This window comes from Homo sapiens, chromosome 1 (assembly GCF_000001405.40).
Source record: "Homo sapiens chromosome 1, GRCh38.p14 Primary Assembly".
Lineage (NCBI taxonomy): Eukaryota > Metazoa > Chordata > Mammalia > Primates > Hominidae > Homo > Homo sapiens.
Genome location: NC_000001.11, coordinates 60962439 through 60976637, shown reverse-complemented (window position 1 = coordinate 60976637; position 14199 = coordinate 60962439). Strand labels below are relative to the sequence as shown.

The 14199-nt window shown below is 43.5% G+C and overlaps 1 long non-coding RNA gene across 2 annotated transcripts in view; it reads left to right on the top strand.

Moving 5' to 3' along the window:
• The first annotated feature begins 5897 nt into the window (after nucleotides 1–5897).
• The window catches only part of NFIA-AS2 (NFIA antisense RNA 2), a 30497-nt gene continuing 22195 nt past the window's right edge, over nucleotides 5898–14199 (top strand). The window contains exons 1-2 of one of the 2 annotated variants that reach the window (NR_110617.2): nucleotides 5898–6090; nucleotides 12834–13072. This is a non-coding gene — a long non-coding RNA (NFIA antisense RNA 2). Of the gene's footprint in view, nucleotides 6091–6572; nucleotides 6708–12833; nucleotides 13073–14199 lie in introns of both variants that reach the window. The other variant, NR_110618.2, reaches the window with a different exon arrangement.

Sequence of the window (14199 nt, the reverse complement as noted above, 5' to 3'; positions counted from 1 at the left end):
TTTTTTTAAAGGGAGGACATATGGAAGAAGAGGCCAGTACTTTCTCTTTTGTTTGACACTTTCGTTTAAAGTATTATACACTGGTGTTATATAGTTTCTTTTATTAAATTCAGATATTATGTTCTTCCTAGCTTTAATATTTGAATAAATTGCTTTGCTTTTTTTTTAAAGAAAAATTTCATGGTGTTCCAAATTAAGTAAACAGTGTTTATTTTTCTGTGACCTTGAAACACTTGGGAAATGTTGCATGATGAAGTGAGGAAGAGGGGTGGTGAGGGTTTTGTGAATGGAGAGAGAAAGCGGACATTTGGAAGCTGAGAGCTGAGGTCTCCTGGTCCCATTGCTAGCTGAAGCCTTTGGCAGGATGAAAATGATTTATGTTGGGAATCTGAGAGTAGCTAACTTCAGTTTTCGTGGACAGAAACATTCTTTCCCCAACATGTCAAGTTGGGGGTCTTGTGCTTACTGAGTCTGACAGTTGGTACGGAGTCTTGTCTCCAAGGACCTTGTCTTAAATTTGCCCCTGAAAACTTCCAGGGGAACGGCTTTTGTTCCTTGGGTTTATGCATTAGTTGGGGTTCTTTCTAATTAAGTTGCTTACCTGCTGTTTCTGGTGAGTATTAAGTGTGTATGTGCTGAGCAGGAATTTTCCATGTTAGGTCTATTATTTTATGAAACTGATCCTTAATTATCAGCTCTCACATATTTGTAGAAAGTTTAGCTTCCATGTCAGATTTAAAAAATTCATGTTTCACCAGAGGCATTTTATACTTGGTCCAAAATGTGAAATGAGCTTTTGGCAAGTTGATTTCTTGACTGGGTTATCTCACTGAACCATCCTTCCCTCCATCTATCCCTCTGTTTATCCATCCACTTATCCATCCCTCAATCCATCCGTTCCATAACCATTTTCTGAAATGCTATGCTTTTCCCTGCACTTCTGTAGGAACAATGAGGAGGGATACCTAAACCCAAGGTGGGGCCGGGTGGGCGGGTGGAGGACAGGGGCAGAAAAATCTTCCTACAGGAAAGATGCCTGAGATGAATAATAAGAAGGGAATGGGACTTAGCTACGTTGGTGGCTGGAAAGCAGAAAGGGGGCTTATTTCAGGCAGATGGAGCAACAAGGGCCAGTGCCCAGAGGCATGAGAGGGCATGATGAGTTCCAGGGACTGAAAGCCGTTTAAACAAATATTTACTGAGCACTTTACTTGTGCCAGGGGCTGCACTGAGATCTTCTGGAATGAGCTTTGCCACATGACTACAAGAGTGAAGGCCTAATGCTGAAGCAATTGCTAAGTATTAGGGTGAATGGAACATTTACTAAATAAATTTGATCTAGATGGCAAAGGCAATGGAGGAGCATGAGAGACAGGGAACTACATTCTATTTATTGTCTGCTATATGCCAGAAGCATTACCTTCACATTCTCTGTGATGTTCCATGTACTGCTGTAGGAAGAATCCCCATTCGAGATAAAAGATAAGGAAATAGAATCCCACAGAAGAAAAGCAAACAAACACTGCCAGCTTTGGGGACTAAAAACACCCATAATTTTTCTACTGTACAATTCTGTCTATCATCAAGAAAGGTCTTCCCTTTGACAGATGGCTCCCAGGATTAGAATCTCCCTCATTTTTCCCTACAGCATTTGGAAAGAGAGCTTAATCATACAAGCTACGACTGTAGGGAGTCTTTTCTGAAAGAAGGCCCCCTAGCAGGGAAACTGAATAGAAAGAATAGAAAGGGAATGTCAGGGAGACATTTGAGTTTGGTGCTTTGGACCAAACCGTCTTTCAAGACGCATCTTAAATCCTCTTTCCTTTGACAAGCCTTCCCTGACTACCCCAGACTCTACCCATCTCCCCCTGCTGTGCTCTGATTTAGGAGATGGTGGCTGTGCAATAGACTTAGCAATTAATCATACCTGCCCTTGTGACAGCTATTGTACTATTGCCTTAAACTGGTATTTTACTCTGGCCTTAGAATTCATCTTTGTGCATGTACATTTTCTCCAATGAGATTATAAGCACCTTGAGGACAGAGATTTTGTCATAAACATATCTTAAATCCTTCCTTCCTCCCCAATACCTAGCGCAATTCTGTCCACATAGTAAAGGCTCAATAAATGTTTTTTAGTTTCGTATAAAAGGCCCTGCAAGGATTTCTGAATGAAAAATATGAGAGAAATCAAATAAATTAGTTTGAGGAGCAGGTGATTTAGATTTATTACTTATGGTGGAATGCAAAAATTGCCACAATAATTTAAAGCAATTCTTATCAAGAGGCAGAGTCTATTTCCCGACTCCTTGAATCTGGGCTGGCCTTGTGATTTGTTTTGACCAGTTGAATGTAGTGAGCTTAATGTAGTTTGAGGTCTGAGCCCAGGCATCAAGAACCCAGCAGAAGAACTGCACAGCTGATACCAGCCCAAATCACAAACCTACAGGACTGTGAGTTAAATAAATGTTTTTTTATTATAAGTCACTAAGTTGTGGGATGATGTGTTAGGCACCAAAAGCTAACTGTTGCAAGATCTTCTTTAATTATCAGGATAAGCCCTTGAGATGCATGTTAGCATCCTATTTTATGAGTTAGGAAGCAAGCATTCAGGAGCAGTATGACGTAGAATGATCATAATTAGCATCTTTCAGAGCCATTGTTAGTGTCTTTTAGCAAATGTTACCTGGATGGGGAAACATATCAGGAGGCACATGTCTCAGCAGGCACTGGTCTGTCTGATGGGGAGGGGGACAAAGGAGTGTTTGTTGGCAGGAGTCAGGAAAAGTTCAGACCATGGAGAGTTCAACAATGTGTTGAAGGAACAGGCAAGACAGAGCTTGAGGGCTCTTGGGTCCATGCGTTCAGGCTGAAACGATGTAACTTGGGAGTCTATAAAGAGGGAAATGATAACAACAGTGACTAATAAATTCACTGAACATTTCTCATGTGCCACAAGCTGTGCTACGTCTCTAATCTTCACAAATGTCCTAGGTGAGGCTGAGATAAATTAAATAGGTCATATAACTTGTAAGTGATTAAATTGCCATCGAAACATAAATGTGTCTAACTCCAAAGGGAAATAGCAAACAGCTAAAAATGCCCTTTTCATTATATTGTCTGGTCTGTAAAATCAATTTCTTCCTAACTTGCAACAAACCGAATGGGCACCTATATGTCATTGCAGGCAAAACTCTTCGTATGCCTTGGAACAAAGCCATACACAGCTGAAAACTCATGACTTGTCCCATATTGGGCATGGAAGGGTGGTTTCTCCAGTTTGATAAAATCAGGAGGTCCTCTCTGCAACATGCTTTTGTGATAACATTATGTGGCTTAGCAAGAGTTCTACAAACAGGGCCCCTTTGAAGGGATCTGTCCCTTCTGCTTTTGAAGTAGGGTGACCACAGCCCTCGAGCAGAGACCTTCAGATATCCTCAGGCGGTGGTTTCATCTAGACTAAACTAGTTACAAACCCTTCCACTTATCTAATAGTTTATGCACGGTGCACACATATGTCTTGTTGAATTGAGTAGCACAGCTTTGTGGGATTCACTGGGCAGCACGTGTGATTCCCATTTTATAAATGAGAAAACTGAGACTCAGAAGCTAACTGACATGCTCAAGGTCATAAAGTTAATCTGTGGTTGAGCTAGGACTGGACTTGGTCTGTTTGACTCCTCCTCCCATGTTCTTGACTGAGTCAACACAAAAGCATTCCCTATGTATGAGGCATAGAGACTACAGAGATGTTTTAGGCTGGGCTCCTACACCCAATAACAGCAAATGTCTGGTCTAAATGCTTTACTTAGAGTAACTAATTTAATTCTCATAACAACCCTACGAGGGAGTGCACTTTTTACTCTTGTTTTATGCATGGGAAAATAGAGGTACAAAGCAGTAAAATAGATTTGGGGTTCACATACAGGTGGTCTAGACAGGGAGTCCTTTGACTTAGCCACAGCACCCCACTGCCCCTATGCTTAGGGAAGCTACTGGGGAGAGGAGTGAGATGCTGAATAACAAGGAGACCTATGACAGCCTGGTAACAGCAGGTCATGCCTGCTTGGGTTCAAATACTTGGCCCAGTGCTTAAAGCTGTTTGGTCTTGGGTAAGTTTTTTGTGTGTGTTTATGTGTCAGTTTTTCATCTGTAAAATGAGATTTTGAGATTGCTCACTTCATAGAGAGGTATTATGAGAATGTAATGATTATGTGTGTATGTGTGTGTATGTGCATGCATATGTTCAAGTGTGTGTGCGTATGTGTGTAGCTAAGAATAATCTCTGGTCCTCCAGTTAGTATGATTTGAGAGTTTGCTATCATCATCATTGCAAGGCTATGAAGTGAACTAATTTCCAGACACATAGCGCAGACAAGAGTCACAGATTCTGAGAAGAGGGAGAATTTATTGTCAGCAGGAATGGTCAGGACAGGCTTCAATGAGGAGGTAAGAAGATGTTAAGTGGATCTCGAAGGATAGAATCACAGAGTTGGGAGTTGAAGAGACTTCAGCATTCATGCAATCATATGAGTTTATCTCATAGAAGAAATCTAGGACCACAAGGGAGAGGTGATCATGCCATGTTTATCCAGCTAGTTGGGGACAGGGCCTTGACTGGAACCCAGGTCTCCTCCAAACCATGCCTGTCTGAATTTTTCTGGGCTAGAAAAATTAGAAACCCTGCATCCCCAGTCAATACTGGTGCTCCCTCTTGTAGTCCTCACTCCACTCTAAGCACCCTTTACTACCTTTCCTCTGCCATCCCTTTGGGAGAGATGCAAGTGAGCAATGAATTCGACAGTGATAGGAAAGACCTCCTACAGAAGCAAGGGACTTGATAATCTATAAACAGTTCCTGGGTAAAAACCATGAATGTGTACAGAGCACCTACTATCAGGTGCTTACTGAATTTTCTCAATCTCCACCGTAACTGCTATCATTCTTTGTACAGATAAAAAACCAAAAGGCTTAGTTTTGTAGTATCTTAGTTTTGGTAATTTTCCCAAGATCTCACAAAAAGAAAATGTTTGAGCCAGGATCCGAACAATGGTTTATAAGATTCTTCTATCCACCCACCCATCCATCCACCCACCCATCCCTGCACACACCCATCCATGCACACACTTATCCACCCACCCATCATCCATCTGTCTATCTGTTCATTCATCTTTCCATCCAAGAAACCTTTACTGAGAGTGTGTTCCATGTAAGGCAGTGTGCTTGGTGGTATGGAGCTAAGGAGATACATAGCCCCCTGTCCTCATAGAGCTGAGTGGGGCCTCCTTGAGGGTACTGTTGGGATAGTGTTAGGGAGGAGAGTGATGAGGAAATGGTTTATGTGGAAACTGGGCACTTGGGAAGACCATGACAAGAGGATCAGTGGGTTGCTCCCTGACTCCTGCTTCTAAGGTTGCAGATGAGTGCCCAGCTGGCCAGCTGGCCACTGGCATAGTCTGCCTCTTTGTGTAAAAACTAGTGGAATCACATATGTGCTGCTCCCAGATGCAGTCTCGGCACCAACACCTTCCAAGCAGGAGGTTCTGTCATGGTGCTGCCTGCCAAGCCTTGTCCAGAGGACTGAGGCCACTTGGCCAGTTGCACTGGGCCCTGTGCCTGTGCAGAGACTGTCTCACCACAGCAGCTGGGGGCGGCAGGGAAGGGCAAGAGCTTCTTTTGTGTGTGTGTGTGTGTGTGTGTGTGTGTGTGTGTGTGTGTGTGTGTGTTTAAGCTGGAAAGAAGCCCTTTTTCACTGTGCTCTGTACTTGAGATATTTCACTGAGTGGGAGACAAAGAGGCTTTGTGTGCTCTTCAAAGTGCTCTCTGCTGACTGTGATACACATCCAGGAAAAACCCAGACCAAAGCCATGAAGTCACCCCAAGTTCAAACCCAAAATGCAATTTGCAGTGGTTAGAAATGACAAAGGATGGGTGGTAGGATCCAGAGAAAAAACAGTGAAACCCGATGGACCTTAAATAGATCTGAGGGCACTGATTTGATTATTTTGGGTGAAATCTTTTAAGAAAATCTTGTCAGATTCTTCACAGAAAATTTGGTAAAGCCTATATTTCATCGCCAGCCTAGCAAAGGTAAGACCCACGTTAATTTTCTTGGAATATCACTGTTGTTTTTATTCTTAGGGTGTATGTTAGGGAGAAGAGCAGGGAGGTAGTTTGTCAGATGTTGTTCTTTCCTTGTTAAGCTTCACCTGTTCTTAAGAGCAACTTGCACTTTGTCAGCCACAGAATAGTGCCTGCCGTTCAGGCCAGTGTTTTAGATATAATTGAATTGCTGGGACGCATTAAACATCATAGGGTTTTTAGCGGAGAAATAATTTAATGATGTGGCCTTTAGGATTGTTAATTAGCACTGTCTGTATGAACATGTAACAATAACACCACCTACCGTAAAAGCGAATGTTCTACACTTCAGGACACTCATTTCTTTAGGGCTTCCCGCAGAGAAGCAGTCATTAACTCTTTTTTTGACAAATGCTTTTAGACATGCTCTGTAGGGCCGTGAATTCACCCTTCCCTCCAATCCTGAATCCTTCTCTGCATTTATCCACAAGGCAAGCTGGCAAACAGGGAAACAAGGAGAACTGTGTGCTCAGCCCTCCAGAGTGGCACGGATTATGAGGAGGTGATGGTCCTTCCCCGCCAAGATCCTGAGACACTGTCACTCCGGAATCCAAAAAGAGATTCAGGCAAGGATGTGGGAAAGTTGGAACCCTGCATGCTGTTGGTGGGAATGCCAAATGGTGCAGCTGCTATGGAAAACAGTATGGAGGTTCCTCAAAAAATTAAAAATAGAATTACCATATGATCCAGCAGTCCCACAGGGTATTTATCCAAAAGAATTGAAATGAGGATCTTGAAGAGATATTAGTACTCCCATGTTCATTGCAGCACTATACACAATAGCCAAGATGTAGAAATGAACTAAATATCCAACAACAGATCAATGGATAAAGAAAATGTGGAACACACACACACATACACACACATCCCAGAATATTACTTAGCCTTAAAAAAGAAACTCTAAAATATGTGACAACATGGATGAATCTTGAGGACATTATACTAAATGAAATAAACCACTCAGAGAAAGACGAAACTGCATGATTCCACTTATGTGGGGTATCTAAAATTGCCAAATTCGTAGAATCAAAGAGTGCAATGGTGGTTGCCAGGAGCTAGGTGGAGTGAGAAATGAACAGTTGTTAATCAATGGACATACAGTTTTAGTTAAGCAAGATGAGTGAGTTCTAGAGATCTGCTGTACAACGCTTTACCTATGGTCAATAATACTGTATTGTGTGCTTAAAATTTTGCTAAGAAGGTGGCCCTCATGTTACGTGTTCTTACAAAGTTAAAAAGGAAAAAAGTAATGGGATTGGCTCACTGGAGGAGAAGCTGTTGGCTTGCATCCTGCCTGCCCTGATGAAGGGAATGGTCAGGGGCTTGTTTCTCTGCTGGAGTTCAGGCGGGTCTGTCTGAGCCATGGGTCTGGAGGAGGCCTGCATAGGCAGCATGCCATAGGTTTCTCTGGCTTCCTGAGAACAGAGCCTGATAATGATGGAGAAATGAGAGCTTCCCACTCCTTCTTCTGTTTACATTAGAACAGCCAAGTGTTTCTTCAACCATCCACCATTCCCTTATGTCACATGTCTTCTGAAGACACTTTACCTCTTCAGTGAGGCAAGAGCAGCAGCATGAAGGTATTTGAACACTAGATTGTGCCTTGTTCTTCAGTCAGCCAAACTTTTCCCTAGCCATGTTCTAGGCCTTGATGTCTTCACGAAACCTCACCTTCCAACATCTCACTCTGGCCACAGCCCCCTGTCCTGCTACTTCTCTTACTCCTCTCTCTTCTCACAGCCTTGTCTGGCCTCTGGTCCAGAGATGGCCAATGCCTGGTGTGATTGTTGCCACTCTTTCCAGCTCATTGAGAACCTCACAGACTGATCATGCCACTCTCCTATTAAACCCAGAGGTTGCTTTGGGATCCTTCTCAGCACAGGTTCCATCAACTGGAGTTGATGCGTGAGATGAAAACTATTTGCCATTCCAGCTCCAACTCCTTGATCCACTTTCTCTCAGTCCATCAGGCAGGACAGACTCCACACACTTGCATTTGAACTCTTCATGGCACCCCTCCCCTTCCCTTGCACACGCACATGCTCTGTCTGTCCAATGATGTGTTCTCTCCACTTTCTCTACTCTCATGCCCAGAGCACTAAGTATTTTTGGAGTATTTTGCATTATGATGTGTAGTTAATGCCACATAAAAATTTGTGGTTTCTACTTTGGAACTGTCTTTTATTTGTTCTTTATTAGTATCTTCTTGCATTTCCCAGAGAAGCCTTCCAGAGCCTATCTTGCCTTTTCAGTTCCCCAAACCACACCACCTCCCCTCCTTGTCTGTCAACCTCACCTCCCATTTCCCTGAGAAAACTGGCAGAGGCTCCCTATGCCTCCGCCCCTGCCTTGTCCCCCACCCTCTGCCCACATGCACCCTGTCTCTCCCTTTGAGAATCTTTGTTATCTTCCTGCCTAGAGTGCTGTGGCTTCCCCCTTCTTTCTCCTGAGATGTTCCCTTTTCTTCCACACTCAGCAAAGGGTCATTTCCTTGACAAAACTTTCCTTTGCTAACTGACCCTCACCACAGGCAGGCTGGGAAGTTCCCTCCTCTCTCTTCCCTCCGTATCTCGTATATACCTATATTAAGGTATTAATTCCAGGGAATTGTCATCTCTCTCTCTCTTCTAGTCTAGTTTTCATCCCTGACTCTAACAGTATCTGGAATAGGGCAATGATTCAAGTTGTATTTATTGAGTGAATGAATGAATGCATTGGGAAACTGAGGCAGTGAATAGATTTTGCCCATCTCCTGGAATTGGTCATCTCCTTATCCTTCCTGTTAAATTTCACCATCTGCACTTCTCTTTTTAAAAATGATATTTATCATTTTCTATCATTGGTGTTACTTATCTATGTACAAGTCTTATCATTCCTACCACACTGCAGCTTCCTTGAGAGAGTTATCTAGATCGAAATCAACTATGTGTCTCCCAAAACGCAGTAAGTCACATGTGTTGTTTTTTCAATATTTGTTGGATGAATAATTCTTAAGTTATGCTTGTATTACTTAGAATAAGGGTCCAGTGCAGTCTTGTTGAATTAAACTGAATTTAATCCTTTGTCATAGATATGCTGATGTCGTTTGTTGTGACCCTACCCAAATCTCTTCCGGAATTGTAGTTCCCATAATACCCACATGGAGGTTGTGGGAGGGACCCAGTGAGAGGTAATTGAATCTTGGAAATAGTTACCCACATGCTGCTGTTCTTGTGATAGTGAGTTCTCACAAGATCTGGTGGTTTTATAAAGGGCTTTTCCCCATTTTGCTAGACCCTTCCCCTTCCTGCCATCATATGAAGAAGGACGTGTTTGCTTCCCCTTCCACCATGATTGTAAGTTTCTTGAGGCCTCCTCAGCCATGCAGAACTGTGAGTCAATTAAACCTCTTTCTTTTATAAATTACCCAGTCTCAGGCAGTCCTTTTTAGCAGCACGAGAATGGACTAATACAGTAAATTGATACCAGGTAGTGGGGTGCTGCTATAAACATACTTGAAAATGTGGAGGTGACTTTAGAGCTGGGTAACAGGCAGAGGGTGGAAGAGTTTGGAGGACTCAGAAGAAGATAAGAAGATGTGGGAAAGTTTGGAAATTCCCAGAGACTTGTTGAATGGCTTTGACCAAAATGCTGATAGTGATATGGACAATGAAGTCCAGATTGAGGTGGTCTCAGATGGAGATGAGAAATTTATTGGGAACTTGAACAAAAGTAATTCTTGCTATCCTTTAATGAAGAGACTGGTAGCATTTTGTCTCTGCCCTAGAGATCTGCAGAACTTTGAACCTGAGAGAGACAATTTAAGGTATCTGGTGAAATAAATTTTTTAAGCAACAAGGTGTTCAAGAGGTGACTTGGGTCTGGGCGCGGTGGCTCATGCCTGTAATCCCAGTACTTTGGGAGGCTGAGGTGGGCAGATTACTTGAGGTCAGGAGTTCTGAGACCAGCCTGGCCAACATGGTGAAACCCTGTCTCTACAAAAAATATAAAAATTAGCTGGGTGTGGGCCAGGTGTGGTGGCTCATGCCTGTAATCCCAGCACTTTGGGAGGCTGAGGTGGGCATATCATGAGGTCAAGAGATTGAGACCATCCTGGCCAACATAGTGAAACCCTGTCTCTATTAAAAATACAAAAATTAGCTGGGCTTGGTGGCGCACACCTATAGTCCCAGCTACTGGGGAGGCTGAGGTAGGAGAATTACTTGAACCTGGGAGGCAGAGGTTGCAGTGAGCTGAGATTGTGCCACTGCACTCCAGCCTGGTGACACAGCAAGACTCTATCTTAAAAAAAAAAAAAAAAATTAGCTGGGTGTTGTGGTACACACCTGTAATCCCAGCTGCTTGGGAGGCTGAGGCAGGAGAATTGCTTGAGCCTGGGAAGCAGAGGTTGCAGTGAACTGAGATTGTGCCACTGCACTCCAACCTGGGTGACAGAGTGAGACTCCTTCTTGAAAAAATAAAATAAAATAAATAAATAAAAGAGGTGACTTGGGTGCTGTTAAAAGCATTCAGTTTTATGTATTCACAAATATATTGTTTGGAAATGGAACTTATGTTTAAGAGGGAAGCAGAACATAAAAGTTTGGAAAATTTGCGGGCTGACAATGTGATAGAAAGAAAAATCCATTTTCTGAGGAGAAATTCAAGCTGGCTGCAGAAATTTGCATAAGTAATGAGGAGCCACATGTTAATTGCCAAGACAATGGGAAACATTCTCCAGGACATGTCAGAGACCTTCACAGCTGTCCCTCCCATCACAGGCCAGGGAGCCTAGGAGGAACAAATGGTTTTGTGGGCTGAGCCCAAGGCCTTGCTGCTTTGTGTAATCTCAGGACTTGATGCCCTGCATCCCAGGCATGGCTAAAAGGGGCAAAGATACAGATGGGGTGTGGCTTCAGACGGTGCAAGCTTCTAACCTTAGCAGTTTCCATGTGGTATTGAGCCTGTAGGTGCACAGAAGTCAAGCACTGAGGCTTGGGAACCACTCCCTAGAATTCAGAGGATGTATGGAAATGCCTGGATGTCCAGGCAGAAGTTTTGTGTCAGGGACGGAGCCCTCATGGAGAACCTCTGCTAGGGCAGTGTGGAAGGGAAATGTGGGGTTGGAGCCCCTACACAGAGTCCCTACTGGAGCACTGCCTAGTGGAGCTATGAGAAGAGGGCTACTGTCCTACAGATCCCCAGAATGGTAGATCTGCTGACAGCTTGCACCATGCACCTGGAAAAGCTTCAGACACTCACTGCCAGCCCATGAAGGAAGCTGGGAGGGGGGCTGTACCCTGAAAAGCCACAGGGGGAGAGCTCCCCAAGGCTGTGTGAGCCCACCTCTTGCATCAGTGTGACCTGGATGTGAGACATGGAGTCAAATGGACCATTTTGGAGCTTTAAGATTTGACTGCCCTGCTGCATTTTGGACTTGCATGGAGACTGTAGCCCCTTCATTTTTGCCAATTTCTTCCATTTGGAACAAGTGTATCTACCCAATGCCTGTATCCCCATTGTATCTTGGAAGTAACATGTTTTTGATTTTATAGGCTTATAGGTGGAAGGCACTTGCCTTGTCTTAGATGAAACTTTTGACTTGGACTTTTAGGTTAATGCTGGAATGAGTTAAAACTTTGGGGGACTGTTGGGAAGGGATAATTATGTTTTGAAATGATGTGAGGACTTGAGATTTGGGAGGGACTGGAGAGAAATGATATGGTTTGTCTGTGTCCCCACCCAAATCTCCAAATCTCACCTTGTGTTGTAGTTCCCATAATCCCCATGTGTTGTGGGAGGGACCCAGTGGGAGGTAATTGAATTATGGGGGAGGTTACCCCATGCTGCTGTTATTGTGATAGTGAGTGAGTTCTCAAGAGTTATGTTGGTTTTATAAGGGGCTTTTCCCACTTTTGCTTGGCACTTCTCTTTCCTGCCATCATGTGAAGAGGGTTGTGCTTCCTTCCCCTTCTGCCATGATTGTAAGTTTCCTGAGGCCTCCCCAGCCATGCAGAGCTGTGAGTCAATTAAACCTTTTTCTTTATAAATTACCCAGTATTGGGCAGTCCTTTATAGCAATATGAGAACAGACTAATACATATGCCTAAATATCTGAAAAGGCCTGAAAGCTGACTGAATTGTTAAGTTCATGAGGGCAGGGCTGGTGTGCCTATCTTGTTTAATATTGTTCCTAGCAGAATGATGAATACTAAATAAATATTTGTTGATGAAATAATGGACAACTTTTACCCTACCCTTAGGAATTAGCAAACTCAAGTAGCTGAGAATAATTCTAGAACCACTTTTTATGAAGTTCTCTAGAGTGGACAACATTTTTTCCCTGAGTACAACTAACAAACCAAATGTCAGGAGGGGAGGTTGTCATAAGCCATTCACTCTGTTCCTTTGTTCATTTGATGAATAAAATTCCTTTTTATTTAGAATAGAGGTAGAATTTTTTTAATCCTGGACTCTGGCATGGTGTTTGAGTCCCCAGAATCACTAGCTCAGACTGACAGACATGTTATCCTTCCTGCTTAAACACTTTCCTTAATAGATGGCGTCTGGTGCCCTTAAACGCAAGTGCATTCCCACATGGGAGAGTGGCCATATTTCAGCTGTAGTGATGGGGTGGGCAGTGCTCTGTCAGATCAATTATGTACAAAGGTCATCTTCTCTAAGGTTCTCTCAATTTTTTTTTCTCCTGACAGTTCACCTTGTGCCCAACCTTCTGTCTCCCTGAGTCAGACCTGCAGACGATTGCATGCCACCAGCTGTCTTCACTCCTGAGAACATGACACAAAGGAATGCTCCCTGTCAAGTTCTTCATTATCCTTCTGATGAATTTCCCCTGGTTTAAACAAGTTGGTGGTAGACAGACCTTTCTCGCATTTTCACAGACGTGCCAGGAGGAAACCCAGCGTCTCTCAGTTTCCTTTAAATATATGAGGTGGTATCTTATTGTGACCTCAACTTTCTTCTGTTTTCTATTCACCTCATTTTCTATTTCTTCTGAAGTAGTAATGCCACTTTGACCACAGTGAACAGGGCAAACCACCCCTGGGGCTGTTTAGAAGAGCAGGGAGTTCTCTGCCAGTGTCTTCTCTCTTCTGTCTGGGTCAGCCTGGGCAGTGGTCAGGGGAGCTGTCTGGCTTCCTAGCAGGTGTTGTTGTTTGTGAAACTTTATAAAACCCTCTCCTGGGGTGTGCAGAGGAGATGACGGCATCACATTCTGTTATTTCAGTGAAGTTTTTGTAGTCTGACTTGGCAGAAGCCGGTCAAAACATAATGAAAGCAGCTGGCAGGGGGGCACCATGTGGGAGTATCAGAAAGGCAGCAGCTCCTGTCCACTTCCAAAAGTGTAAAGTGGCAAGTCAGGTCAGCAATTTCCCCAGTTACATTCAGGATGTGGCCACTTCTTCATGTTGCTAACTTATACTTGATCTGAGCTAACATTATCGCTCCATCTGAAGTCCTGCAGTGGCCTCCCCTCTTGTCTCCCTGCAACTTCTTGTCCCCTCCAAACAGTAGTCAAAATTATGTTTTTATAATGCAAATCATTGAAAATAGTTCAAATGCTTCCATGGCTTCCTCTCTTAATTAGAATGAAACCTAATTTCTTGTGATGACCTGCCAGGCCCCCGAGACTTCACTGCCCCTCCTTTCAGACCTCCTCTTCTACCATTCCCTCACTCATCACTGCAGCCTCCTCCTCTTCTGTGGAGGCATCAAGTCCATTCCTGCCTTATGGCCTTGGCACTCGCTATTTCTCCTGCCTAGAAGGTGTTTTAACCAAACCTTTGCAAGGTTAGTACCTTCTTGTCCTTGAAGCCTCAGCTTATAGGCAACTTTCTTGGGTGAAACCTACCTGACCACCCAATATAAAGCAGACCCTCCCATTTTGCCCTGGTTTATTTTCTTCACTGTACTTCTCTCTTGCAGGATTCTTCTTATTTATCTTATATGTTCCTCTATTATCATCTGCTGTCTCCGAAAGAAATTATTCCCATGACAGCCTTTTTTGATCATCACTATATCCTCAGGGTTAAAAAAAATGCTTGTGGTACCGTCGGAGCT